Genomic DNA, 27047 nt, shown 5'->3' with positions numbered 1-27047 from the left:
TGAAAAACGGTCTTAAGAGATTATCTGATTCGTTTCCCAGTTTTATTACTCACATATCAGCTGTAATTTGAGCACGTTTTCTGATTGAGACAAGACTCAGATGGTATTAAACATTACTACAACACATCCGGGCACGGTGGCTCACGCCTGTAATCCCAGCACTTTGGGAGGCCGAGGCGGGCGGATCACGAGGTCAGGAGATCGAGACCATCCTGGCTAACACGGTGAAGCCCTGTCTCTACTAAAAATACAAAAAATTAGGCGGGCATGGTGGCGGGCGCCTGTAGTCCCAGCTACTCGGGAGGCTGAGGCAGGAGAATGGCGTGAACCCGGGAGGCGGAGCTTGCAGTGAGCCGAGATCGCGCCACTGCACTCCAGCCTGGGCGACAGAGCAAGACTCCATCTCAAAAAAAAAAAAAAAAAAAAAAAACTACAACACTATAAATTCATATCTATTATAATAGTACTTTGTGCAGGGCCCTACCCTAAGTCCTTAACCGAACCCGGAAGCGAGAAGATGACTTTTGTTTGTTTTTAGAGATGGGCGCCTGGCTCTGTCGCCAGCCTGGAGTGTGGGGGCGCGATCTCGACTCACAGCAGCCTCCACCTCCCGAGTTCAGGCGATCTTCCTGCCTCAGCCCCTCGAGGAGCTGGGACCACCGGCGCGCTCCATCGCGCCCGGCTAGGAGCTGACTTTGAATCCGGGCTCTGCGCCTGGCCTTCTGCATCTCTATAAGGGAAGACATCTGTGACCTCGGGGCAAAGGTCAAATTAGATCCTGGGTAGGATCCTGTTCCCGCTGCCCCTCGGGCTGGCACTGCCAGGAGTACTCAGAGCTCAAAGCTGGGATCTGCAGTCCCTTACCCACTCAGTGCACGCCGCCTAAGGCTTTGCGCTTCACCTTTACTCACCTCGAAGCCCTGGACATCCGCATCTGCCCTAAGACTTCTCACCTCAGTAGCAGAAGGAAGTCGCGTCAGCTGGCCACAGCCTCTCTCCTAGGAGACCGTCCGGGAAAAGCGAGTCAGGGTAGACCCTGAGGCCCCTCAGCTCCGGCTATTTTCAGATCTGTCGCTCCTTCACCCTCAGCCTTTCAAACAGGCCACTCCAAAAAAAAGCCCAATCACAGCCTTCCTTCTTCTCCTGGCCTTCCGGCACTGTCCAATCAACGTACGCCATCTATCGGTTAGTGGTGTTGCGGGGCCACCCTTCCCGCTGGTTTCCCTCGTGGTGTGTAAAGGCAGAGAGGAAAGGCGAGGGGTGTTGACGCCAGGAAGGTTCCATCTTGGTTAAGGGCAGGAGTCCCTTACGGACTTGTCTGAGGAAAGACAGGAAAGCGCCAGCATCTCCACCTTCCCCGGAAGCCTCCCTTTGCCAGGCAGAAAGGGTTTCCCATGGGGCCGCCCCTGGCGCCGCGCCCGGCCCACGTACCCGGGGAGGCCGGGCCCCGGAGGACGAGGGAAAGCAGGCCGGGCGCCGTGAGCTTCGCGGACGTGGCCGTGTACTTCTCTCCCGAGGAGTGGGAATGCCTGCGGCCAGCGCAGAGGGCCCTGTACCGGGACGTGATGCGGGAGACCTTCGGCCACCTGGGCGCGCTGGGTGAGGCCGGGCCCTCCGGCCGGGACCCCCAGTCCGTCGGTGGGAAGCGGTGATCGGTGTCCCCAGAGGCTAGTGGGCTGGAAGCGGGGCGCCGAGGGAGCAGTCTCATTCTCCCCTCCCGTGCGCTCAGCCGAGCCCATTGTTTCTCCTTCGCAGGATTTTCAGTTCCCAAACCCGCTTTTATCTCGTGGGTGGAAGGAGAAGTGGAGGCGTGGAGCCCGGAGGCCCAGGATCCCGACGGTGAGAGCTCTGCAGCTTTCAGCAGGGGCCAAGGACAGGAAGCAGGTACTTCATTTGGATAAGTAGCCGTGGAGAAGCCCCAACCCCCGCCCCCAACTCACTCACATCCTCAGCGCAGGCTGCCCCCTCCAAAGTCCCATCCTGTCTCCCTGCACCCTACCCCAGAAACGTCCTCATCTCACTGCAAAATGGCCCGATGGAACAGCGAAATTGGGATCTATGGAACCGATTAACCATACTGGAAAACCTCAGTTTAATGCAAAATAGAGCTTGAGCTTCCTAGGAGGTCAAGGGAAAGGGGAAACCTGTAATTTGATTTTTGTTGTGGGATAAAATGAAGACAGATGTTCCTCTTGGATATTAATGATGTGAACCACGTGTAGTAAATAACACCATTAATTAGATTTTTAAATGAAGAGAAATGTTTTTCCTGCAGCCCTGATACCAGAATAAATGCTTGTTCCCAGAAGGTCTTCCCGTGGAACCTAGTGAGGCAGTCCAAGTGTAGACTTATTTTTTGAGACAGTCTCGCTCTGTTGCCCAGGCTGGAGTACAGTGGCATGGTCTAGGCTCACTGCAACCTCCGCCTCCCAGGCTCAAGCAATTCTCCTGCCTCAGCCTCCTGAGTAGCTGGGATTACAGGTACCCGCCATCATGCCCAGCTAATTTTTGTATTTTTAGTAGAGACGGGCTTTCACCATCTTGGCCAGGCTGGTCTTGAACTCCTGATCTCGTGATCCACCTGCCTCTGCCTCCCAAAGTGCTGGGATTACAGGCGTAAGTCACTGTGCCCCACCAGCAAGTGTAGACTTTTTGGTGATGGTAAGAGCAGAGAGGAAAGGTGCCAAAAGAATTTGAGCTGGTACCAAAGAAGGTCATTGAATGGCTGTTTTGTAAAGGGATCATAAACAGGTTCAGGATGGTAAGTGCCATGAGGACTGGGACCATCACTGTGTCCTCAAAGCCTGACACAGAGTTAAGCGTTCAATATTGTTCACTCCTTTTTCTTTTTTTATTTTTTTGAGACTGAGTCTTGCTGTGTCGCCCATGCTGGAGTGCAGTGGCACGAGGTTGGCTCACTGCAACCTCCACCTCCCCAGTTCCAGGGATTCTCCTGCCTCAGCCTCCCAAGTAGCTGGGATTACAGGCGCCCACCACCTCGCCTGGCTAATTTTTGTAATTTAGTACAGACAAGGTTTCCCCATGTTGGCCAGGCAGGTCTCGAACTCCTGACCTCAGGTGATCTGCCCACCCCAGCCTCCCAGAGTGGTGCTGGGATTACAGGCATGGGCCACCACGCCCAGCATTTTTTTTTTTTTTTATTAGAGAGTTGCCCAGGCTGGAGTGCAGTGGCCCGATCACAGCTCACTGTCCCTTGAATTTCTGGCCTCAAGCGATCCTCCCACCTCAGCCTCCTGAAGTGCTTGGATAACAGGTGTGAGCCATGGCACCCGGCCCGACTCCTCTTTCATTATCTCCAGTGCTCAGGGCCTTCTTGTGTTAACCTGCAGACCATGGCATTTGCTTTTACTCCAGGCTGGCTTTCAGGGCTTCATGAGGCCCCTATCATTAAGCCGTGCTCCCTGGGCGCCATATTCTGAACCATTCCTGCTGCCTTCCAAGGCAGGACATGGTCCCGGAATATGCTGGTTTTGACTTTATCATCTTTCCTGTCTCAGGATCCAGGGATGAGTTTCTGATTTTATCATCTTCCCTGTTTCAGGATCCAGGGATGGGAATGAGGAGAAGGAAAGGCTGAAGAAGTGTCCAAAACAAAAAGAGGTGGCGCATGAAGTGGCTGTCAAGGAGTGGTGGCCCAGCGTCGCCTGCCCAGAGTTCTGCAACCCTAGGCAGAGCCCCATGAATCCCTGGCTCAAGGACACTCTGACCCGAAGACTGCCCCACTCTTGCCCAGACTGTGGCCGCAACTTCAGCTACCCTTCCCTCCTGGCCAGCCACCAGCGGGTCCACTCCGGGGAGCGGCCCTTCTCCTGCGGCCAGTGTCAGGCGCGTTTCTCCCAGCGCAGGTACCTGCTCCAGCATCAGTTCATCCACACCGGCGAGAAGCCCTACCCCTGCCCCGACTGCGGGCGCCGCTTCCGCCAGAGGGGTTCCCTGGCTATCCACAGGCGGGCTCACACCGGGGAGAAGCCTTACGCGTGCTCAGACTGCAAGAGTCGCTTCACTTACCCCTACCTGCTGGCCATCCACCAGCGCAAGCACACGGGCGAGAAGCCCTACAGCTGCCCCGATTGCAGCCTCCGTTTCGCCTACACCTCCCTGCTGGCCATCCACAGGCGCATACACACCGGCGAGAAGCCCTACCCCTGTCCTGACTGCGGCCGCCGCTTCACCTATTCTTCCCTCCTCCTCAGTCACCGGCGCATTCACTCCGACAGCCGGCCCTTCCCCTGCGTGGAGTGTGGGAAAGGCTTCAAGCGCAAGACCGCCCTGGAAGCCCATCGGTGGATCCACCGCTCCTGCAGCGAGAGGCGCGCGTGGCAGCAGGCCGTGGTGGGGCGTTCAGAGCCCATCCCTGTTTTGGGAGGCAAGGATCCCCCAGTTCACTTCCGGCACTTTCCAGATATATTTCAAGAGTGTGGGTGATGGCGTTCACACAAACTGGTCAGCGTTTCCCTGGAGAGGAAGAGGCAAGGTTTGTGTATTTGGGGGATAAGGAAAGGAAGTGGGCGTTTGAGGAAAACAAAGTTCTGCCTTAGGTAAAAAGCAGAGGTAGGGGCACAGAGGGCTGTGGGGAGGAGGCAGGAATCTGAAAAGGTGCCTGGGGGTTGACCCCATTTTCTGAAGCTCCAGCACACAGGGCCCCGTGTTCACGTCCCATCCTTCACTGAAAACCATTCACCTAACTGGCTTTTCCTTCATGATTGTTCTCTCCCTTGTAGCTCTCTGCTTTTTGGCCTGTATCTCTCCTACTCCTCTGAGATGGGGTCCCCTACATTCCAGTGCCTATTAAAGGAGCCTGCACCCACTCTGGACCCCCCAGAATAGAGGGGATACCTCAGGCCTGTCCCTCGGCTGGTGGGGGGGGCGGAGCTCATCCCAGGATTCTTTTCTTTTTTTTGAGATGGAGTCATGCTCTGTCGCCCAGGCTGGAGTGCAGTGGCGTGATCTCGGCTCACTGCAACCTCTGCCTCCTGGGTTCAAGCCATTCTCTGCCTCAGCCTTCCCATTAGCTGGGATTACAGGCATGCGCCACCAGGCCCAGCTAATTTTTGTGCTGTTAGTAGAGACGGGGTTCCACCATCTTGGCCAGGCTGGTCTTGAATTCCTGACCTCGTGATCCACCCGCCTCGGCGTCTCAAAGTGCTGGGATTACAAGCGTGAGCCACCGACCCCTGCCGAGGATTCTGCCTTTTACCAATGCAGGTGAAACATCTGGCAAGGAGACACCTGGAGTGTAGGTGTTCCTTGGTCTTGAAGACCTAGAGGTGGCCATAGAGAGGACAGTGGCCTCAGGTGGGGAACTCCCCCCCCACTCTCATTCTGCAAGTGCACAAACTATCAAACATAGCGGACTCTGGAACTGGGCCAACTCTTCACTGTATGCATTAGTGATTGCAGTGTTTTTTTCTTCTTCAGATATTTGCATGTTCCCTGGATTTTGTATTTTTTGATAAAGATATATTCTTGGGCCACAGTAGCTGGAGATATAATGCCGGAGGATTCTTTTTTTTTTTTTTTTTTTTGAGACAGAGTCTGTCTCTATTGCCTGGGCTGGAGTGCAGTGGCCCAAGCTACGCTCACTGCAAGCTCCACCTCCTGGGTTCACACCATTCTCCTGCTTCAGTCTCCCGAGTAGCTGGAATTACAAGCACCCGCCACCACGCCCAACTAATATTTTGTATTTTTAGTAGAGACGGGGGTTTCACCGTGTTAGCCAGGATGGTCTCGATCTCCTGACTTCGTGATCCTCCCGCCTCGGCCTCCCAAAGTGCTGGGATTACAGGCGTGAGCCACTGCACCCAGCCTCTTTTTTTTTTTGAGATGGAGTTTCGCTCTTGTTGCCCAGGCTAGAGTGCAATGGCATGATCTTGGCTCACTGCAACCTCCGCCTCCTAGGTTCAAGCGATTCTCCTGCCCCAGCCTCTTGAGTAGCTGGGATTACAGGCACCCACGACCATGCCTGGCTAATTGCATTTTTACTAGAGACAGGTTTCACCATGTTGGCCAGGCTGGTCTCCAATTCCTGACCTCAGGTGATCCACCCGACTTGGCCTCCCAAAGTTCTGGGATTACATTTTTTTTTTAAAGAAAGAATAAATTAATTGTGATTAAAGTTGAAATCAAGGCATAGTCTTTCCAGTCTAATTTTTACTGTAATGCTTGTATGTCAACAGTTATGAAGGCCAGGCGCGGTGGCTCACGCCTGTAATCCTAGCAGTTTGGGAGGCTGAGGAGGGTGGATCACTTAAGGTCAAGAGTTCAAGACCAGCCTGGCCAATATGGTGAAACCCCATCTCTACTAAAAATACCAAAAAAAAAAAAAAAAACGGCCAGGCACGTTGGCTCACACCTGTAATCCCAGCACTTTGGGAAGCCGAGGCGGGCAGATCACGAGGTCAGAAGATCGAGACCATCCTGGCTAACATGGTGAAACCCCGTCTGTACTAAAAATACAAAAAAATTAGCCAGGAGTGGTGGCAGGTGCCTGTAGTCCCAGCTACTTGGGAGGCTGAGGCAGGAGAATGGCGTGAACCCGGGAGGCGGAGCTTGCAGTGAGCCGAGACTGCGCCACTGCACTCCAGCCTGGGTGACAGAGCGAGACTCCGTCTCAAAAAAAAAAAAAAAAAATTAGCCAGGCCTGGTGGCGTGCACCTGTAATCCCAGCTTCTTGGGAGGCTGAGGCAGAAGAATGGCTTGAACCCAGGAGGTGGAGGTTGCAGTGAGCCAACATAGCGCCACTGCACTCCAGCCTGGGCAACAGAGCAAGACTCTATCTCAAAAAAAAAAAAAAAAAAAGGCCTGGTGTGGTGGCTCACGCCTGTAATCCCAGCACTTTGGGAGGCTGAGGTGGGTGGATCACGAGGTCAGGAGATCAAGACCATCCTGGCTCACACAGTGAAACCCCATCTCTACTAAAAATACAAAAAATTATCCGGGCATGGTGGCGGGCGTCTGTAGTCCCAGCTACTGGGGAGGCTGAGGCAGGAGAATGGCATGAACCCGGGAGGCGGAGCTTGCAGTGAGCTGAGATCGCGCCACTGCACTCCAGCCTGGGCGACAAAGTGAGACTCCAGTCTCAAAAAACAAAACAAAACAAAAAACAACAGTTAAGAGAGTTCTTTCTGGCCCATTTAGATCTGCTAGCCCTACTTTTGAAGAGGAAACTTTTGAAGGAATGAACAAAAGAGGTAGGTGGGACTAAGCATTTCTGCATTCCAGGACTGGTGGTCAGTGACTCAAATATCTCTTTGAAAAGACTGCTTCTTTGAATCCTTGGGTTCCAAGATAATTAATGGGAACTGGTGCCGGGCACGGTGGCTCACACCTGTGATCCCAGCACTGTGGGAGGCTGAGGCTGGTTAATCACTTGAGGTCAGGAGTTTGAGACCAGCTGGGCAATATAGTGAAACCCCATCTCTACCAAAAAATTAGCCAGGCGTGGTGGCACATGCCTGTAGTCCCAGCTACTCAGGAGGCTAAGGCAAGAGGATCACTTGAGCCTGGGAGACAGAGGTTGCAGTAAGCTGAGATGGCTCCATTGCACTCCAGCCTGGGCTACAAAGCAGGACTCTGTCTCAAAACAAAAACAGATACAAAAACTGGGAACGGGGTGTTATCTTTACTTCACCACATAGCCTCTCCTGAATTGGTGGACCTGGATTCCTAGCTTGGCTCAGTCCCCACTGGCTGTGTGGCCTTTAGCATCACCTAGATTCTACAAATAACATTTTTCTCTATTTGTTTTACACATGTCAATCTGCCTATCCATCCCTCTATCCATTCATTTATCCATTTTATTAATGTATTTCAAAGTAAGTTGCAGACATCATTACATTTCACTTCTAAACACTTCAGCATACAGCTGAGTTTTATGCAAGAAACTTAAGCTCTCAGCTGGGTACAGTGGCTCACACCTGTAATCCCAGCACTTTGGGAGGCTGAGGCAGGAGGATTGCATGAGATTGGGAGTTTGAGACGAGCCTGGAAAACAGCAAGACCTCATTTCTACTAAAAATTTTAAAAATTAGCCGAGCATGGTGGGGGAGGGTGAAGAAGGAGGATAGCTTGAGCCCAGGAGTTTGAGGCTATAGTGAGCTATGATGGCGCCACTTCAGTCTGAGTAACAGCAAGACACTATTAAAAAAAAAAAAGAGCCAGGCGCAGTGGCTCACACCTGTAATCCCAGCACTTTGGTAGGCCAAGGTGGGCAGATCACCTGAGGTCAGGAGTTTGAGACCAGCCTGACGAACATGGAGAAACCCTGTCTCTACTAAAAAAAAAGAAATACAAAATTAGCCAGGCATGGTGGCACATGCCTGTAATCACAGCTACTCGGGAGGCTGAGGCAGGAGAATCGTTTGACCCCAGGAGGCGGAGGTTGCAGTGAGCCAAGATCGTGCCATTGCACTCCAGCCTGGGCAACAAGAGTGGAACTCTGTTTCAAAAAAGAAAGAAAGAAATTCAGCTCCCACTTAAAGTTCAGTTGTACTCTGTTATTGACAAGTAAAGTCGATTGAAGCCCAGTCATCTCCTGTATGTTGTGTGACTTCTCATAATTATCTGATCAAGAGTCTTGAAGAAACATTTACAATTTGATGGGCAATAAAATAATTTGAAAGCAAGAGCATTTTGTTGTTCTTGTTATTTCTTGAGACAGGGTCTCACTATAGCCTAGGCTGGAATGCAGTGGCACAGTCACGGCTCACTGCAGCCTCGACCTCCTGGGCTCAGGTGTTTCTCGTTCTCATCTCAGCCTCTTGAGTAACTGGGACTACAGGCATATGCCACTATGCCCAGCTAATTTTTGTATTTTTTGTACAGATGGGGTTTTGCCCAGGCTGGTCTTGAACTCATGGGCTCAAGTGATCTGTCTATCTGAGCCTCCCAAAGTGGTAGGATTACAGGTGTTAGCCACTGTGCCCGGCCAATTTTTGTATTTTTATAATGAGTGGCAGGAAAAACAACTCATCAGCTACACGGAACAGTTTTAGTCTTACTTGAAAGTTTGTTTCAGGCCTGGCGCTATGGCTCATACCTGTAATCCCAGCACTTTGGGAGGCCGAGGACGGTGGATCACTTGAAGCCAGGAGTTTGAGACCAGCCTGGCCAACATGGCAAAACCCCATCTCTACTAAAAATACAAAAATTAGCAGGTTGTGCTGTTTTCAGCTACTTGGGAGGCTGAGGCACGAGAATTGCTTGAACTCGGGAGGCAGAGGTTGCAGTGAGCCGAGATTGTACCACTGCACTCCAGCCTTGGCCACAGAGTGAGACTCTGTCTTAAAAAAAAAAAAAAACCACAGGCCGGGTACAGTGTGCAGTGGCTCATGTCTGTAATTCCAGCACTTTGGGAGGCCAAGGCAGGCGGATCACGAGGTCAGGAGATCAAGAGCATCCTGGCCAACATGGTGAAACCCTGTCTCTGCTAAAAATACAAAAACTGGGTGTGGTGATGCGTGCCTGTAATCCCAGCTACTCAGGAGGCTGAGGCAAGAGAATCGCTTGAACCAGGGAGTTGGAGGTTGCAGTGAGCCAAGATCCCACTACTGCACTCCAGCCTGGCGACAGAGCGAGACTCCATCTAAAAAAAAAAAAAAAAAAGTTTCTTTCAATCTGTTTAGTTAATATTTTTATTGTTCAGCTTCATCTTCTTAAGTCTTCTGCATACTTAGTTCAAAGAGAAGTGATTTACAACATAGGATCTGAAGAAACAAAAGTATTTTTGGTTCAAGTTGCTACTCTGTTTAAAAGGAGAATCCAAATAGCCACTCACCTGTAGTCTTAGCTACTCAGGAGGTGGAAGTGGGAGCATAGATCACTTGAGCCCAAGAGTTCCAGGCTGCAGTGAGCTTTGATCTTGCCACTGCACCCCAACCTGGGTGACAGAGTGAGACTCTGTTTCAAAATGACAATAATAGGCTGGGCATGGTGGTCCACACCTGTAATCCTAGCACTTTGGGAGGCTGAGGTGGGAGGATCACTTGAGCCCAGGAGTTCCAGACCAGCCTGGGTATCATGGAGAGACCCCATCTCTACAAAAACGAAAATTAGCCAGGCATGGTGTTGCACACTTCTAGTTCCAACGACTTGAAGGCTGAGGTGGGAGGATCACCTGAACCCAGGGAGGTTGAGGCTGCAGTGAGCTGTGATCATACCACTGCACTCCAGCCTGTGTGACAGAGTGAGAACCTGTCTCAATAATAATGATAATTAATAATAATAATCATAATAGAAGGAGAATCAAAATAAAACATGCAGATGGTCAACAGGTACATGAAAAAATGCTCAACACCACTAATCATCAGGGAAATGCAAATCAGAACTACAATGAAGCCGGCCTGGTGGCTCACGCCTATAATCCCAGCAGCTTAGGAGGCCGAGGTGGGCGGATCACCTGAGGTCAGGAGTTTGAGATCAGCCTTCCCAACATGGTGAAACTCCATCTCTACTAAAAATACAAAAATTAGCTGGGTGGCTGGGCGCGGTGGCTCACGCCTGTAATCCCAGCACTTTGGGAGGCCGAGGTGGGTGGATCATGAGGTCAGGAGATCGAGATCATCCTGGCTAACACAATGAAACCCCATCTCTTCTAAAAATACAAAAAATTAGCCGGCGTGGTGGCGGGCACCTGTAGTGCCAGCTACTCCAGAGGCTGAGGCGGGAGAATGGCGTTAGCCCGGGAAGCGGAGCTTGCAGTGAGCCAAGATCGCGCCACTGCACTCCAGCCTGGGCAACAGAGCGAGACTCCATCTCAAACAAACAAAAAAATTAGCTGGGCATGGTGGTGCACGTATGTAATCCCAGCTACTCAGGAGGCTGAGGCAGGAGAATCGGTTGAACCCAGGAGGGGGAGGTTGCAGTGAGCTGAGGTTGCGCCACTGCACTCCAGCCTAGGCTGCAGAGCGAGACTGACTCAAAAACAAAAAAGCACACAATGAGATATTATCGTACCTTAGTTAGAATGGCTGTTATTAAGAAGACAAAACATGACAGGTATTGGCAAGGATGCTAAGAGAAGGCAACTCTTGACTGGGCGCAGTGGCTCACGCCTGTAATCCCAGCATTTTGGGAGGCTGAGGTGGGTGGATCACCTGAGGTCGGGAGTTCAAGATCAGCCTGACCAACATGGAGAAACCTCATCTCTACTAAAAATGCAAAATTAGTCAGGAGTGGTGGCACGCGCCTGTAATCCCAGCTACTTGGGAGGCTGAGGCAGGAGAATCGCTTGAACCCTGGTGGCAGAAGTTGTGGTGAGCCAAGATTGTGCCATTGCACTCCAGCCTGGGCAACAAGAGTGAAACTCCTTCTCCAAAAAAAAAAAGAAAAAAAAAGAGAAGGGAACTCCTACACACTGTTGGTGGGAACGTAAGTTAGTACAGCCACTACTGAAAACAATATGGAGATGTCTGAAAAAAACAAAAACAGAACTACCATGTGGGCTGGGCATGGTGACTCACACCTGTAATCCCAGCACTTTGGGAGGCCAAGGCTGGTCGATCACCAGAGGTCAGAAGTTCACAATAGCCTAGCCAACATGGCAAAACCCCTTCTCTACTAAAAATACAAAATTTAGCTGGGTGTGATGGAGGGTGCCTGTAATCCCAGCTACTTGTGAGGCTGAGGCAGGAAAATCACTTGAACCTGGGAGGCAGAGGCTGCAATGAGCCGAGACCAGGGCATTGCACTCCAACCTAGACAACAAAAGCAAAACTCCGTCTCAAAAAAAAAAAAAAAGAACTACCATGTGATCCAGCAATCCCACTACCTGGAATTTATCCAAAGGAAAAGAAATCAGTATATAAAAAAGATAACCTGCATCTCCGTGTTTACTGTAGAGCCGTGTTTACAATAGCAAAGATATGGAATCAACCTAAGTGTTGATCAGGGGACAAATGAATAAAGAAAATATGATATATATACACAGTGGACTTAAGCCATAAAAAATGAAATCATGTTTACAGCATGGATGGAACTGGAGGTCATTATGTTAAGTGAATAAGCCAGACACAGAAAGGCAAATATCACATGTCCTCACTTACATGTGGGAGCTAGAAAAGTTGATCTCATGGAGGTAGAGAGTAGAATGATACCAGAGATTGGAAGGGTGTACGTGGGTGGGAGAGGTGGATGAAGAGAAGTTGGGTAATGGGTACAAACATACACTTAGGAAGAAGGGATAACTTGTAATGTTCAATAGCAGAGTAGGGTGACTGTAGTTAACAAAGTACTGTAAATTTCCATAGCTAGAAGAGAGGACTTGAAATTTTCCCAACACATAGAAATGTTAAATACTCAAAGTGATTGATACCTTAAATATCCTGACTTGATTATTGTACATTCTATGTATGAAGAAAAGCAAAATATCACATGAACTCCATAAATATGTAAAAATTTTGTGTATCAATATATTTTTTGTTTTGTTTGTTTTTTTTTTTTTTAGATGGAGTCTTGCTCTGTCACACAGGCTGGAGTGCAATGGTGTGATCTTGGCTCACTGCAACCTCTGCCTCCTGAGTTCAAGCCATTCTTGTGCCTCAGCCTCCTGAGTAGCTGGGACTACAGGCGTCCGACTCCACACCCAGCTAATTTTTGTATTTTTAGTACAGACGGGGTTTTGCCATGTTGGCCAGGCTGGTCTCGAACTCCTGACCTCAGGTGATCCTCCCGCCTTGGCCTCCCAAAGTGTTGGGATTACAGGCACAAGCCACTGTGCCCAGCCCAATTTTTTTTTCTTTTTGAGACGGGGTCTCACTCTGTCACGCAGGTTGAAGTGCAGTGGCATGATCTTGCTCACTGCAACCTCTGCTTCCTGGGTTCAAGGAATTCTTGTGCCTCAGCCTCCTGAGTAGCTGGGACTACAGGTGTGCACCACCAGACCTGGCCAATTTTTGTATTTTTAGTAGAGATGGAGTTTCAGCATGTTGCCCATGCTGGTTTCTAACTTCTGGCCTAAAGCAATCTGCCCACCTCAGCCTCCCAAAGTGCTGAGATTACAGGTGTGAGCAACTGGGCTGGGCCTAAATTAAATATTTTCAAAATTTAAAAAATACTCATTTCTAAGGATATATTTTTCCTTATATAATTTCTACAGTATTCACCACATGGAGTGCAGTGAGGCAGTTCCAGAACTCAAGGTAATAATGTAAGCATATTAATAATATTTAATTATTAACAATTAATAATTAATCAATTAATAACATATGCATATGAGATCAGCAGGAGTCACACTAAAAGCCAAAAAGCATTTCAGGTGAAAAACAGCAAGGGTAGGCCAGAAAACACAAAGAAATCTTGACTGAAAAGTCAGCAATAAAAAACACTATTGAATAAAAAGGAAGGCTCGATATACTAGGGCTGGCAGGGGAGCCAAGCAAGTAGATCCAGAGCCAGAATGACAGCAGGGACCTGGTAGGCCTTGCTTGTTATCTCCAGCAACCAGCCCCACGCTTAGCAAACAGTATTCTGCATCCTGTATGATTGCAGGTATATTCCAAATGTGGGGATGAAGGCAACTAGTATTTACAGTCCAATGCCACCAGCCATGAGGATGACCCATCTTGGCTGAAAAATAAAGACCTTAAATCTAGGAAGCGGAAGATACAACCCAGGACAGCAGGAAGGGGAGACCCGGTATGAGAAGAACTGAGGCCCAACCCAGTTTAGAGAGGAGACTGAAGGCTAAAGGAGGAAGGTTTCCCAGGAAAAAAAAAATTAGGATTTGAAAGTTGATGCTATCTTTGATAATTTGGAACAACGTAAATAAGTAGAAATGGCAGGGCCGGGCGCCGTGGCTCACGCCTGTAATCCCAGCACTTTGGGAGGCTGAGGCGGGAGGATCACCTGAGGTCGGGAGTTCGAGACCAGCCTGACTTAATATGGAGAAACCCCGTCTCTACTAAAAATACAAAATTAGACGGGCATGGTGGCTCATGCCTGTAATCCCAGCTACTTGGGAGGCTGAGGCAGGAGAATCGCTTGAACCTGGGAGGCGAAGGTTGCGGTGAGCCTAGATAGCGCCATTGCACTCCAGCCTGGGCAAGCCGAGATAGCGCCATTGCACTCCAGCCTGGGCAACAAGAGTAAAACTCCTTCTCAAAGAAAAAGTAGAAATGGCTGGGAACCGTGGCGCATGCCTGTAATCACAGCACTTTGGGAGGCCGAGGCAGGAGAATTGCTTGAGGCCAGGAGTTCCAGACCAGCCTGGGCAACATAGCAAGACCCTGTCTCTGTTTTAAAATTTAAAAATTAGCCAAGCATTGGGTGTGCGCCTGTGGTCCCAGCTACTCGGGAGGCTGAGGTGAGAAGATCGCTTCAGCCCGGGAGGTCGAGTCTGCAGTGAGCTAGGATCGCACTGCTGGGCCACAGAGCAAGACCCTGTCTCAAAACAAACAAAAAATAAATTCATGTATGTTAGCAACAATTACTATTTAATTTAAAACTTCCCCATTCCGATTCCATCCTCACCAAGCACGTTCCTTCGCCTGCAGCTTCGGTCTAGAGCCTGAGCGAGCCGAGCTGCGGATGCCAGGGGCTGGGTGGACTCCGCAGCTAAGCTACTGTAAAACACGCACCTGCTTCTACCGCGGGTGTACACATGGTTTGCCAGGGTGTGCGCGTCTTCCCAAGGGGTCTGGGGACCAAATTCCAGCTCCCGCCATCGGGAGGCACGGTAAGAGACCGTAGGGGACACAATCCCGAGCACCGCAGATGCCGAGGTCTCCGCTGCGCTCCAGTCTGTCAACAGAGGCTTCAGGACCGCGGGGTCCCTTCAAATGCCCCGCCAGTCCCAGGCCAATCACCGCGCAGCTTCTTCCGGGATCGTCGCCAATCATCGGCCGTTGCGTATTGCGGGTACAGAGGGGTAAGTGAAGCTTCGGGCCCTTACATCTTTCTTGAAGGCAAGAAGCCTCTCCTCTACTTCCCAGACACCCCGCCTCCCCCACTAGAAAAAGCAGCCGAAGCGGCTTTATTTAAGGGCAAGTGGGACGATGAGGCCAGAGAAGTCAGAAAGGCTCCATATTTGATATGGTCAAATAATGGCGCCCTTAAGAGCAGCCTGTGACAATTGAAGGGTGGTCGCCATATTTTCAGAAGGCACCTTCCGGGTCCCTTAACCCGGGTGTCTATGTCCAAGCGGCCATGAAGTGAATAAACACTGAGGAATTATATTTGTCCCTATCAGAATCCTCGAATCCCTAGCAGCCAGTCCCTGCTACTTCGGTTGCCTCGGCTGCGTTCGGACGCCACGGCTGGGCGGGGCCGCCCTTCCTGTGGACAACGACAGCTGAGGCCGGGAGCGGGGAGGCGGCGGCTCCAGGGACCTGGCGGCCGCCGATCGGGGCTGCGAGGCCCCATGGCGCCGCCCCCAGCCCCGCTCCTGGCGCCGAGGCCCGGGGAGACCCGGCCTGGTTGCAGGAAGCCCGGGACTGTGAGCTTCGCGGACGTGGCCGTGTACTTCTCCCCGGAGGAGTGGGGCTGTCTGCGGCCCGCGCAGAGGGCTCTGTACCGGGACGTGATGCAGGAGACCTACGGCCACCTGGGCGCGCTCGGTGAGAGCCCCGGGTCCGAGCCCCCTCCTCCTTCACCGGGTTCACAGGGGAGATGATGTAGAAGGGCCGAGAGGACTGTGAGCCCTAATCCCGCACTCTTGCACCAACACCAGCAGCCACCTCCCGTTCCCAGGGCTTCAGGTACCCCCTCGGGAGTGTTTTCACCCGCATCCATTTCATTCAGGCAGCAGCACTGCAGCCCCTTCCAGGTTGAGTATAAGCTCCGAGGGGGTGCCCTCAGCCTGGAGGGGAATGCCATCTTCCCACGATGGCCTCTCAGGCCCGCGCTGTGATCCCTGTTCTCTCCCAGGATTCCCAGGCCCCAAACCAGCCCTCATCTCTTGGATGGAACAGGAGAGTGAGGCTTGGAGCCCCGCCGCCCAGGATCCTGAGAAGGGGGAAAGACTGGGAGGAGCTCGGAGAGGTGAGGGATAGTCCCGGGTCCCCCCACTTGGTTTTCCAGGGCTTCCTGTCTAGCAGAGTTTCTTTTCAGGCCCCCACTTCCAGCATCCCTAAAGAAATTCAACTGTGTTGGGTACTAGAGGAGTAAAGAAGGCAGACCTGGTACAAAGTTTTCAGAACATGGGACAGCGGTCCTGTGAGGACTGGGAGCCCAGTCCAACCAGGCACTCCAGCCTGGGTGACAGAGTGAGACTCCGTCTCAAAAATAAATAAATAAATAAATAAATAAATAAATAAATAAATAAATAATAGCCCCTGCTTCCTGAGCACTTCCTAAGTGCTTAACATGCATCTACTCAGCTAAACCAGTAACGCTGTGAAGTCAAAAGCCATTATTATTCCCATTTGATGCATAAGGAACCAAGGCTCAGATAAGGCACTTTTAGGAGATCTGAATCCTGTTTACCTTGTTCTAAAGCCTGTGTGTTAATCACTGGACAGAACTTCCCTCACTGCCTTAAGTGAAAAGCATTCTATAACCTGAGACAGTCTGTGCAAAAGTGTTTGTAAGTGTAACTTAATTCCGGTTTCCCAGGAGATGTCCCAAACAGGAAGGAAGAGGAACCGGAGGAAGTCCCAAGAGCCAAAGGGCCTAGAAAGGCTCCTGTGAAGGAGAGTCCTGAAGTGCTGGTGGAACGCAACCCTGACCCAGCTATTAGCGTGGCCCCGGCACGGGCACAGCCACCCAAAAATGCTGCCTGGGACCCGACCACAGGAGCACAGCCCCCGGCACCCATACCCAGCATGGATGCTCAGGCCGGCCAGCGGCGCCACGTGTGCACGGACTGCGGCCGCCGCTTCACCTACCCCTCACTGCTGGTCAGCCACAGGCGCATGCACTCGGGGGAGCGGCCTTTCCCCTGCCCCGAGTGTGGCATGCGCTTCAAGAGGAAGTTCGCAGTGGAAGCGCACCAGTGGATCCACCGCTCCTGCTCCGGGGGGCGGCGGGGCCGGAGGCCTGGGATCCGGGCTGTGCCTCGGGCCCCCGTCCGAGGTGACCGGGACCCGCCTGTGCTCTTCCGGCACTACCCAGACATCTTCGAGGAGTGCGGCTGAGCGGCACCGCAGGCTGGAGTTGAGCCTGACCTTGGCACGAAGGACTGACGGATCCCTGAGGTGGGCCACTGAGTCGGGGACTCCGGAACTGAAATTCATGCCCTGGGCTTTCCTCAAGGATCCCTCAAGTTTCCAACTTGTAAAAAGAAAAGTGCCTGTAAAGATTCGAATAGATTAGACTTGCCACCCATCTCCCCAGTCTTTTGTTTAACAAAAAAAAAAAAAAAAAAAAAAAAAAAGAAGAGAGTGAGACCCTGGACTCATTTCAAAGTGTTATCTGAAGATCAGGTGCAACAGAGACCTTTATATCATCTCAGGAACTAGCCACTCCTTATCTATTTCAGATGCAGATGCTGAGGGGGACCAGGGCCTGGGGAGGGGACCTACATGGAGGGCGTGGTCAAACCCTGGCTAATTGTCATCAGCAGGGGACCCAGACACTGGAGTGGATGGGAGTAGAATAGATGCAGGTGGCACAAATCCAGCCTCTGTTGGGAGACCAAGGAGGGAGGATCGTTTGAGTCCAGGAGTTCAGACCAGCCTGAGCAACAGGCTATCTAGCGATATCTAGATATCTAGGATATCACTATCTAGAGATAGTGAAATCCTATCTCTACAAAAAAAAAAAAAAAAAATGAACCAGGCATAGTGGCACATCGTGCCTGTGGTCCCAGCCACTTGGGAGGCTGAGGTGGGAGGACTGCTTGAGCCCAGGAGTTCAAGGCTACAGTGAGCTATGATTGTGCCACTGTACTACAGTCTGGGCAACAGAGCAAGACTTCATTTCTTTCTTTTATTTTTTTTGAGACAGGGTCTCACTCTGTCACTAAGGGTGGAGTACAGTGGCGCCATCTCAGCTCACTGCAACCTCTGCCTCCCAGGTTCAAGCAATTCTCCTGCCTCAGCCTCCTGAGTAGCTGGGATTACAGGTGCACGCCACCATGCCCTACTAATTTTTGCATTTTCAGTAGAGACGGGGTTTCACATGTTAGCCAGGCTGGTCTCAAACTCCTGACCTCAGGTGATCCACCCACCTTGGCCTTCCAAAGTGCTGGGATTACAGGCATGTGCCACTGCGCCTGGCCAAGACTCCATTTCTTAGAAGAAAAAAAAAAAAAAAAAAGCTGGCGCCATGGCTCATGCCTGTAATCCTAGCACTTTGGGAGGCCGAGGTGGGCAGATCACCTGAGGTCAGGAGTTTAAGACCAGTGGCCAACATGGTGAAACCCCATCTCTACTAAAATACAAAAATTAGCTGGGTATGATGGTGGGTGCCTGTAATCTTAGCTACTCAGGAGGCTGAGATGGGAGAATTGCTTGAACCCAGGAGACAGTGGTTGCTGTGAACCGAGATTGCGCCACTGCACTCCAGCCTGGGCAGCTGCGTGAGACTCTGTCTCAAACAAACAAAACAAAACAAAAACTAGTCTCTGCAACTTACCCCAGGCACAGCTGGTAAGTCATGTGAACTTCCTGAGTCTCAGTGCCTCCTCTGTAAAATGAAGATGAATAATATCTACCTCAAAGGGTTACCGTGGAGACTGACATTTTAACAAGATGTATGACATAGTAATTGTGCAATACACATTTGTTGAAAGAGTGAATTACTGTGGATGGTCTACACTTTAGAAAGTGTAAAGAAGCCTGCCAGGGAGCCAGGGCATGGATATCAATAACCATGTTTGCAGATAAGTAAACTGAGACTCAGAGAGATAACGTGATGCTCTCAAGATTTCACTCCCATGTGGCAGCATGGGTGGAAATGAACACAGAGCCCAGATGTCTCTACCACTTCCTTTGAGAAGTCAGATCTGGACAGAAAACACGGGCTGGGAACTCAGGATGCAGGTCCCAGCCCAGCCTGCTTGGGGAGTGTGAGCAGAAAACTAAGAGTCCCAGTAAGTGCCCCTTTTCTTATCCTTTCCTTTTCTCTTTTATTTTTTTGAGATAGAGTATCACTCTGTCACCCAGGCTGGAGTGCAGTGGTGTTAACATGGCTCTCTATAGCCTTGACCTCCTGAGCTCAAGAGATCCTCCCACCTTTGCCTCCTAAAGTGCTGGGATTACAGGTGTGAGGCACCTCGCCTGGCCAGTTTTTACTTAGAAGGCACAGTCATGCTGGGCGTGGTGGCTCACACCTGTAATCCCAACACTTTGGGAGGCCGAGATGGAAGGATCTCTTGAGCTCAGGCGTTTGAGAACAGCCTGGGCAACATAGTGAGGCCCCCATCTCTACAAAAACAAAAATCAGCCAGGTGTGGTGGCGCGTGCCTGTAGTCTCAGCTACTTGAGAGGCTATGGCAGGAGGATCACTTGAGCCAGGGAGACTGAGGCTGCAGTGACCCATGATTGCGCCACTGCACTCCAACTTGGGCGACAGAGTGAGACTCTGTCTCAAAAAGAAAAACAAAAAAGAAGGTACAATTGGCACTTAGTGACTGTGTGTTGAGTGCCTTCTGTTGAAGGGACTGTGCTAGGTAATAGGGGAATTCCACGATGACGAAAGCTGACCCCATTCATTCATTCATTCAGCAAACACCCTCCTGAAGCCTCTGTGGGTTTTTGTGCTGGGCTCCAGTGATACAGCTGAGTCAGGGCCCACGTTCGACGTGGGAAGAGATTAATTGGCGCTATGACAGAGGAAGCCCAGAGGCACCACCTCACCTAGGCTGGTTGGTGATATGCCAGGAAATGTTCCTGGGAGGAGATGGCTGTGCTTCCCATAGCCTATGAATTGGTGTTGGGGGAGATTTTCAGGCAGAGGAAACAGCAAAGGAGTCTTGCTTCATAGAAAGAATAAAAGACACTTTGGGAGGCTGAGGCGGGCAGATCACCTGAGGTCAGGAGTTCAAGACCAGCCCAGCCAACATGGTGAAACCCTGTCTCTACTAAAAATACAAAAATTAGTTGGGCATGGTGGTGGGCACCTGTAATCCCAGCTACTCGGGAGATTGAGGCAGGAGAATCGCTTGAACCCGGGAGGTGGAGGTTGCAGTGAGCCGAGATCGTGCCACTGCACTGCAGCCTGGGCGACAGAGTGAGACATTCTGTCTCAAAAACAAAAACAAAACAAAACAAAAAAACTAGATAAGGAAGAATGGGAGACAGATGCAGCCGAGAAGTGGGGTCAAATCTGGGAGGGCCACAGAGGCCACCAGAGCAGCTTGAGATACATTCTGTGGCACTGAGGAGCCACAGAAAGTTCTTGAGCAAGTGCAGTGCTGTTTGCCAGGTGCTATCAGAAGATATCTTTGCAAAGCAGTGTGGGTGTGACCTGGTTGGGGGACAGAGCTAGACACTAGAGATCTGTTGGGCATTTTTTCCTAAGTGAGGGTCACTGGGAGCTGGGACCAAGGTGGTGACCTTGGAATTAGGAAGAAAGACACGAGAGGCTTCTGACATAGAATCTGCAGCTCGGTGACTGCCAATATGAGCCAGTAAGACCCAGAGGTTCCAGTATGGAGAGCCGGAGCCAGGGGACCTGATGCCCACCAAGGGGTGATCAGGAGTAGGAGGGTGTGAAGGCCAAGGGTGATCCGTTCTGGGGAGCAGGGAGGCCAAGGAGAAGGTGCAGCTGGAGAGAGGAGGCCCTGCCAGTGAGGGAGGAGCAGAACCAGGTGAAGTGTGTCAAGCATAAAGCTGCTCTGGGCAGCCCCAGCTCTGGTGCTGGACACAGGGCAAGTGCTGTCTGCTATTTCTCTTTCTCATTGGCGCATTTAACAAATAGCTGCTAAGCGTTTACCATGCACTAGCTGTTATTCTCCATGCCAGAACATAGCAGGGGAAACAGACACAGGAACCCTCTTGGAGCTTACTTTCTACGAGGGAGAGACAGGTGATAAACCAGAACACGAATGAAGGAAGGGACTGCGAATGCAAATACTAAGGCTTATGAAGGAGCTCGAACAGCGATGTGCAGAAAGAGCCTGCTGCAGACCGATACTGAGGCTGCGCCATGTTGAGAAAGAGCCACAGGGAACAGGGTTAGGGGACAGGGAGTGGGGAAGGGCAGGGTTCAAAGGCTTGGGGCTGGGGTCGGGGAGAGTAGGGGGTAGAGACGTTTCCAAAGAAAGGGAACAGCAAGTGGGATGTTCCAAGCTAGGGATGAGTTCCCACAAGGTGCAGAAAGGACATCTGTAGCTGTGCTGAGACACCAGGTGGAGAAGATTAACAGATGGGCTTAGGGAGGGGGAGGCGCTCCCACAAGGCTCTCGCTTCCCATGATGCTAAGTATCTTTTCTTCCTTCTCTTTCTAACCCCCACCCCGACACCACGTCTTCTTTCTTTGTGACAGGGTCTCGCTTTCTCTCCTGGGCTGGAGTGCAATGGTGCAATCATGGTTCACTGCAGGCTTGATCTCCCAGGCTCAAGTCATCCTCCCACTTCAGCCTCCCAAGTAGCTGGGATCCCAGGTGCACACCACCGCACTCAGCTAATTTTTTTTCCAGACAGGGTCTCACTATGTTGCCCAGGCTGGTTTCAAACTCCTAGGCTCAAGAAGTCCCCCTGCCTCAGCCTCGCAAAGTGCTGGGATTACAGGTGTGAGCCACTGCACCCAGCTCCATGATTCTCAGTATGTTGGGACATCACTGGGTTGTCTTTGTTTTTGTTTTGTGGTAAATATACATAATATACAATTTATCATTTAGACTATTTTTGAGTGTACAGTACAGTTCAGTGGCAAAATGTGTAATAGTACTATTGTAGAACCATCACAGCCCTCCATCTCCAATTTTTTTTTTCTTTTTTGAGACAGAGGAGTCTCACTCTGTCATCTAGGCTGGAATGCAGTGTTGGGATCTCAGGTCACTGCAGCCTCTGCCTCCTGGGTTCAAGCAATTCTCCTGCCTCAGCCTCCTGAGTAGCTGGGATTACAGGTGCGTGCCACCACGCCCAGCTAATTTTTGCATTTCTAGTAGAGACAGGGTTTCACCATGTTTGCCAGGCCGGTCTCGAACTCCTGACCTCATGATCCACCTGCCTCAGCCTCCCAAAGTGCTGGGATTACAGGCATGAGGCACAGCGTCTGGCCTGGAAAGTTTTTTTTAATGTGAAAAAATTTTTTTAGAGATGGGGTCTCACTGTCGCCCAGGCTGGAGTGCAGTGGCATGATTGTAGCTCACTGCAGCCTCAAACACCTGGGCTCAGGCAATCCTCCTGCCTCAGCCTCCCAAAGCACTGGGACTACAGACATGTGGTACAGACATGTGCTACCATGCCCCCCGGCGGACTACATTTCTTTATTGAAGGCTGCCCTGAACCTTAAATTTGCCAAAGGGGACTGTCAAGGGGAATGGAGAAGGCTGTTTGTTTGTTTTTTTTCCATAGAGCTTCTCATGGGAATACTGTTCTGCAGAATACACTCTGAGAATGCTGAAGCCAGAGAGATGAGGGGACATAATTTTTTTCTTTTTTTCCAAGACAGAGTCTTGTTCTGTCGCCCATGCCGGAGTGCAGTGGTGTGATCTTGGCTCACTGCAACCTCCGCCTCCTGGGTTGAAGTGATTCTCCTGCCTCAGCCTCCAGAGTAGCTGGGATCACAAATGCACACCACCACACCCAGCTAATTTTTGTATTTTTAGTAGAGACGAGGTTTCACCATGTTGGCCATGCTGGTCTTGAACTTCTGACCTCGTGGTCCACCCACCTCAGCCTCCCAAAGTGCTGGGATTACAGGCATGAGCCACAGCACCTGACCCAAGGAGGGGACATAATTAAGATCATGAAGCTGAGTCAGTGGCAGAAGTAGACCTGGAACCCAAATCTCCTATTTCCCAGGCACTGCTCTTCCTGTTTTCACTACACCAGGCTGCAGTGACAGATGGACGGCAAAGGCAAAAGGCTGGAGGCCCAGAGGCCAGCTAGGAGGCCCCTGGCCTAACTCAGCAAGGGCCTGAGCAAGAGGGGACAGCGGTGAGAGATGCTACAGGGGACCCTTTGTGAAGCGTTTGTCACCCATCCTGGGCAATTTCACACACTTCCTAGATATCTGAACAACCCCCCATTACATGACCCCTAAACAACCCTCTTATTTTTAGTACTTATCATAGTCTGTCATTTATATTTTTCTTTACATTTATTTATTTATTTATTTTGAGATGGAGTTTCGCTCTTGTTGCCCAGGCTGGAGTGCAATGGCACGATCTTGGTTCACTGCAACCTCCGCCTCCCAGGTTCAAGCGATTCTCCTGTCTCAGCCTCCTGGGTGGCTGGGATTACAAGTGCATGCCACCATGCCCCGCTAATTTTTGTATTTTTCATAGAGATGGGGTTTCATCATATTTCTCAAGGTGGTCTCAAACTCCTGACCTCAGGTGATCCACCAGCCTCGGCCTCCCAAAGTGCTGGGATTACAGGCATGACCTACCGTGCCTGGCCTTATTTATTATTATTGTTTTTTGAGATGGAGTCTCGCTCTGTGGGCCAGGCTGGAGTGCAGTGTGTGATCTCTGGTCACTGCAACCTCCACCTCCAGGTTCAAGCGATTCTCCTGCCTCAGTGTTCTGAGTAGCTGGTACTACAGGCACATGCCACCATGCCCATCTAATTTTTGTATTTTTAGTAGAGACAGGATTTCATCATGTTGGCCAGACTGGTCTCGAACTCCTGACCTCAAGTTATCTGCCTGCCTCAGCCTCTCAAACTGTATATTTTTCCTCTTTACATTTACATGGCAGTGTAGTAACCTAGCCTAAAATCCCACCTCTCTCTAGTTGCTAAGGTTTTGCCTTCAATAATTTGAGGCATTCCAGCCTGGCTTCTGGGGTCAGTGAGCCAAGATCATGCCATTGCACTCCGGCCTGGGGGACAAGAGCAAAACTCCCTCTCAAGAGTAGAGAGTAGAGGCCGGGTGCAGTGGCTCACGCCTGTAATCCCAGCACTCTGGGAGACCCAGGCGGGTGGATTTCCTGAGGTCAGGAGTTCAAGACCAGCTTCGCCAACATGGTGAAACCCCCTCTCTACTAAAGATACAAAAAATTAGCCGGGCGTGGTGGCAGGCACCTGTATTCCCAGCTACTCAGGAGGCTGAGGCAGGAGAATCGCTTGAACCTGGGAGGCGGAGGTTGCAGTGAGCCGAGATTGCACCATTGTACTCCAGCCTGGACAACAAGAGCGAAACTACGTCTCAAAAAAAGGAGAGAGAGAGTGTGTAAAGTGGAATAGAATAGAATAGAAAACAATTTAAAAAGAACTAAAATAAAATAATAAAATAAAGACTTGGCGCCGGGCGCTGTGGCTCATGCCTGTAATCCCAGCACTTTGGGAGGCCAAGGCGGGGGGATCACGAGGTCAGGAGATCGCGACCATCCTGGCCAACATGGTGAAACCCCGTCTCTACTAAAAATACAAAAATTAGCTGGACGTGGTGGCGCGTGCCCGTAATCCCAGCTACTCGGGAGGCTGAAGCAGGAGAATTGCTTGAACCAGGGAGGCAGAAGTTGCAGTGAACGGAGATCGCGCCACTGCACTCTAGCCTGGCGACAAAGTGAGACTCTGTCTCAAAAAAAAAAAAAAAAAAAAGACTCCGTCACTGAGTGGGCCTCCTCGAAGGGCCTCCTCTAAGGGACTGGGAAGGGGACGTCAGGCCCTCGGTCGAGAATCTTGGACCGGTTTCCCCTCCCCTGCAGCCTTTGCTGCCACCTGCCTGAGCCCAGGTCAAAGCGGCCGCACCCATCTTAACTACGGGCAAGAGGCGCTGCCAAGGCCGCCTGGGAGGAACAGCAAGAGAAGACTTTTCCAGCAGGAACAAACTAGGTCAGCAACACCGGATCGATATTCAAGCTGTTCAATGCCTTTCTCTAAAATGAAGAGAAGCTGGACTGTCGCCAGCCATCTTTTCTTCTTCTTTTTTTTTTGAGACAAGAATCTCACTCTGTCACCCAGGCTGGAGTGCAGTGGCACGACCTCAGCTCACTTCAACCTCTGCCTCCCGGGTTCACACGCTTCTCCTGCCTCAGCCTCCCAAGTAGCTGGGATTACAGGCGTGTGCCACTATGCCCGGCTAATTTTTGTATTTTTAGTAGAGACGGAGTTTCACCACGTTGGTCAGGCTGGTCTTGAGTTCCTCACCTCAAGTGATCCACCCGCCTCGGCCTCCCAAAGTGCTGGGATTACAGGCGTGAGCCACCGTGCCCAGCCGCCAGCCATCTTTTCTAAGAGCGCTTTCATTTTTCTGGACTCCGGAACCACAGAGTTGCTCGCCGTCCTCTCTAGGCCCCACCCGAAGCTACTACCGGTCGTCGAGGCGTCCGTGGAACCTCCTGCACCCTACTCCCAGGGCAAACCCCCAGCGTCCCTCCGGGAGCCGCGGAGCCACTGGCCGCGCTCATGGCTCCAAGCCAATGAACCAGGGAAGGTGGAAGGGACGGAGACTGGGAAAGTGTCTGAGGACCGAGAGCTCCGCGGAAACGGCCGACTGCCGCTTCCTGGCGCAGTGGGGGTGTCTGCGGTATAGGGATGTTCGCGTCCTGATCCGGGACGCGATGCCGCGACCTGCGGCCACCTAGACGCGCTCAGCGGCGCCCGCCCCACCCGGATCCCCGAAAAGGGAAAGAAGTGGCTCTCCTCACTTATGCGGCAGGTTGAGCTGTTTCCTGAGATTCCCGCCAGATCACCCTCCCTGAAGTTCCCTCCAGGCTCCTCCACAGGGGCTCCCCTGGACCTCCTGTAAAACATTCACAGCCTGGTATACTGATATATTCTGAGTTAAAAACAGAGAAATTGTAGTTTCAGAAGGAGCAATCCGACCTGTTTCTTCTGCATGGAGCATGCCAGAAACCTTACTCTGGGGGAGTATCCTTCTGTACCAGGGCAAGAAAACAGCCCTGAGAAGCCACAAGGGACCAGAATAAACATACGTAACAAAGTCATCTGTATCTTGTACCTGTTTGACAACCCCCTGATACATATTCTAGTTACTCACTGCCCTAGCCAAATTTTCTTTGTCCTGTCATTTCTTTTTTCTTTTATTCTTTCTTTCTTTTATTTTTTATTTTTTATTTTTGAGACCGAGTCTTGCTCTGTCGCCCAGGCTGGAGTGCAGTGGCGCAATCTCGGCTCACTACAACCTCTGCCTCCCGGGTTCAAGCTATTCTCCTGCCTCAGCCTCCCAAGTAGTTGGGACTACAGGCACGCACCACCATGCCTGGCTCATTTTTGTATTTTCAGTAGAGACGGGGTTTCACCATGTTGGCCAGGATGGTCTCGATCTCTTGACCTCGTGATCCGGCCACCTCAGCCTCCCAAAGTGCTGGGATTACAGGCATGAGCCACCGGGCCGGCCCTCTTCTTCTTTTTTTTTTAAACGAAGTCTCTCTCCCGCCCAGGCTGGAGTGTAGTGGCTCAATCTTGGCTCACTGCCACCTCTGCCTCCCAGGTTCAAGTGAGTCTCCTGCCTCAGCCTCCTGAGTAGCTGGGATTACAGGAACCCACCACCACCCCCAGCTACCTTTTTTTTTTTAATTTTTAGTAAGGACGGGGTTTCCTGACCTCAAGTGATCTGCCCACCTCGGCCTCCCAAAGTGCTGGGATTACAGGCATGAGCCACCGCGTCTGCCCACTGAAATTTTATTGTTCTTTGTCTAAAAAATATAAAAGCACCTGGCTTTGGGCACTTTTTCTGACTTCCCTCTCTTGTGAAGATCCCCATGTACATGTAAAACTAATACAATTGGTATAATTTTCTCGTTTGTCCACTGTCAATTCATTTGTTCTTATTTTACTTTAGTTTATTTTTATTTTTATTTTTTGAAGATAGGGTTTCACTAACTTGCCCAGGCTGATCTCATACTCTTGGGCTCAAGGGATCCTCCTGCCTTTGCCTCCCAGTAGTTAGCATTACAGGCGATTCTCAATCTGGGCCTACATTCAACTAAAGAGCCCACCAAGAGCTAAAAGGCAGTTGGAGGCAACTCTGACTCCCATACACAGTAAGGGAGGAGACCATCCCTCATATTG

General features: G+C 51.1%; 2 protein-coding genes across 9 annotated transcripts, besides 9 other annotated features; both read left to right on the top strand.

The window, feature by feature from the left end:
- Positions 309 to 909: an enhancer, noted in NCBI's record as "H3K27ac-H3K4me1 hESC enhancer chr16:30597418-30598018 (GRCh37/hg19 assembly coordinates)". NCBI's record gives its function as "activates a minimal SCP1, AML or CMV promoter by ChIP-STARR-seq in naive H9 embryonic stem cells {active_cell/tissue: H9 hESC(naive)}" and the evidence as "EXISTENCE:reporter gene assay evidence [ECO:0000049][PMID:30033119]".
- Positions 1309 to 8645, top strand: ZNF785 (zinc finger protein 785). 3 transcript variants are annotated; one of them, XM_017022967.3, is made up of 4 exons: positions 1309 to 1599; positions 1756 to 1884; positions 3563 to 4495; positions 7159 to 8645. In XM_017022967.3, the coding sequence occupies exons 1-3, from the start codon at positions 1395 to 1397 to the stop codon at positions 4444 to 4446; spliced, it is 1218 nt and encodes a 405-aa protein (XP_016878456.1). In that variant the 5' UTR covers positions 1309 to 1394; the 3' UTR covers positions 4447 to 4495; positions 7159 to 8645. The 3 variants fall into 3 exon arrangements, with proteins under 3 accessions (XP_016878456.1, XP_011544055.1, NP_689671.2); XM_011545753.3 differs by having other exon boundaries at positions 1309 to 1638; NM_152458.7 differs by lacking the exon at positions 7159 to 8645 and having other exon boundaries at positions 3563 to 6350.
- Positions 1375 to 1504: a silencer, noted in NCBI's record as "silent region_7380". NCBI's record gives its function as "represses an Ori minimal core promoter by ATAC-STARR-seq in GM12878 lymphoblastoid cells {active_cell/tissue: GM12878}" and the evidence as "EXISTENCE:reporter gene assay evidence [ECO:0000049][PMID:35858748]".
- Positions 1511 to 2111: an enhancer, noted in NCBI's record as "H3K27ac hESC enhancer chr16:30596216-30596816 (GRCh37/hg19 assembly coordinates)". NCBI's record gives its function as "activates a minimal SCP1, AML or CMV promoter by ChIP-STARR-seq in primed H9 embryonic stem cells {active_cell/tissue: H9 hESC(primed)}" and the evidence as "EXISTENCE:reporter gene assay evidence [ECO:0000049][PMID:30033119]".
- On the top strand, positions 7055 to 17280 carry ZNF688 (zinc finger protein 688). 6 transcript variants are annotated; one of them, XM_047433654.1, is made up of 4 exons: positions 7055 to 7211; positions 13115 to 14884; positions 15883 to 15996; positions 16570 to 17280. In XM_047433654.1, exons 2-4 carry the CDS (start codon positions 14731 to 14733, stop codon positions 17088 to 17090), a joined length of 789 nt encoding a protein of 262 aa, XP_047289610.1. In that variant the 5' UTR covers positions 7055 to 7211; positions 13115 to 14730; the 3' UTR covers positions 17091 to 17280. The 6 variants fall into 6 exon arrangements, with proteins under 6 accessions (XP_047289610.1, NP_001019854.1, NP_660314.1 ...); NM_001024683.2 differs by lacking the exon at positions 7055 to 7211 and having other exon boundaries at positions 14599 to 14884; NM_145271.4 differs by lacking the exons at positions 7055 to 7211; positions 13115 to 14884 and adding an exon at positions 15292 to 15572.
- Positions 15285 to 15524: a silencer, noted in NCBI's record as "silent region_7379". NCBI's record gives its function as "represses an Ori minimal core promoter by ATAC-STARR-seq in GM12878 lymphoblastoid cells {active_cell/tissue: GM12878}" and the evidence as "EXISTENCE:reporter gene assay evidence [ECO:0000049][PMID:35858748]".
- Positions 16387 to 16950: an enhancer, noted in NCBI's record as "H3K27ac-H3K4me1 hESC enhancer chr16:30581377-30581940 (GRCh37/hg19 assembly coordinates)". NCBI's record gives its function as "activates a minimal SCP1, AML or CMV promoter by ChIP-STARR-seq in primed H9 embryonic stem cells {active_cell/tissue: H9 hESC(primed)}" and the evidence as "EXISTENCE:reporter gene assay evidence [ECO:0000049][PMID:30033119]".
- Positions 16951 to 17516: an enhancer, noted in NCBI's record as "H3K27ac-H3K4me1 hESC enhancer chr16:30580811-30581376 (GRCh37/hg19 assembly coordinates)". NCBI's record gives its function as "activates a minimal SCP1, AML or CMV promoter by ChIP-STARR-seq in primed H9 embryonic stem cells {active_cell/tissue: H9 hESC(primed)}" and the evidence as "EXISTENCE:reporter gene assay evidence [ECO:0000049][PMID:30033119]".
- Positions 18476 to 18585: an enhancer, noted in NCBI's record as "active region_10715". NCBI's record gives its function as "activates an Ori minimal core promoter by ATAC-STARR-seq in GM12878 lymphoblastoid cells {active_cell/tissue: GM12878}" and the evidence as "EXISTENCE:reporter gene assay evidence [ECO:0000049][PMID:35858748]".
- Positions 25194 to 25343: an enhancer, noted in NCBI's record as "active region_10714". NCBI's record gives its function as "activates an Ori minimal core promoter by ATAC-STARR-seq in GM12878 lymphoblastoid cells {active_cell/tissue: GM12878}" and the evidence as "EXISTENCE:reporter gene assay evidence [ECO:0000049][PMID:35858748]".
- Positions 25364 to 25563: an enhancer, noted in NCBI's record as "active region_10713". NCBI's record gives its function as "activates an Ori minimal core promoter by ATAC-STARR-seq in GM12878 lymphoblastoid cells {active_cell/tissue: GM12878}" and the evidence as "EXISTENCE:reporter gene assay evidence [ECO:0000049][PMID:35858748]".

Source organism: Homo sapiens, chromosome 16 (assembly GCF_000001405.40).
Source record: "Homo sapiens chromosome 16, GRCh38.p14 Primary Assembly".
NCBI classification, from domain to species: Eukaryota; Metazoa; Chordata; class Mammalia; order Primates; family Hominidae; genus Homo; species Homo sapiens.
Note: the sequence above shows the minus strand (reverse complement) of the source record. Positions and strands in the feature narration are given on the sequence as shown.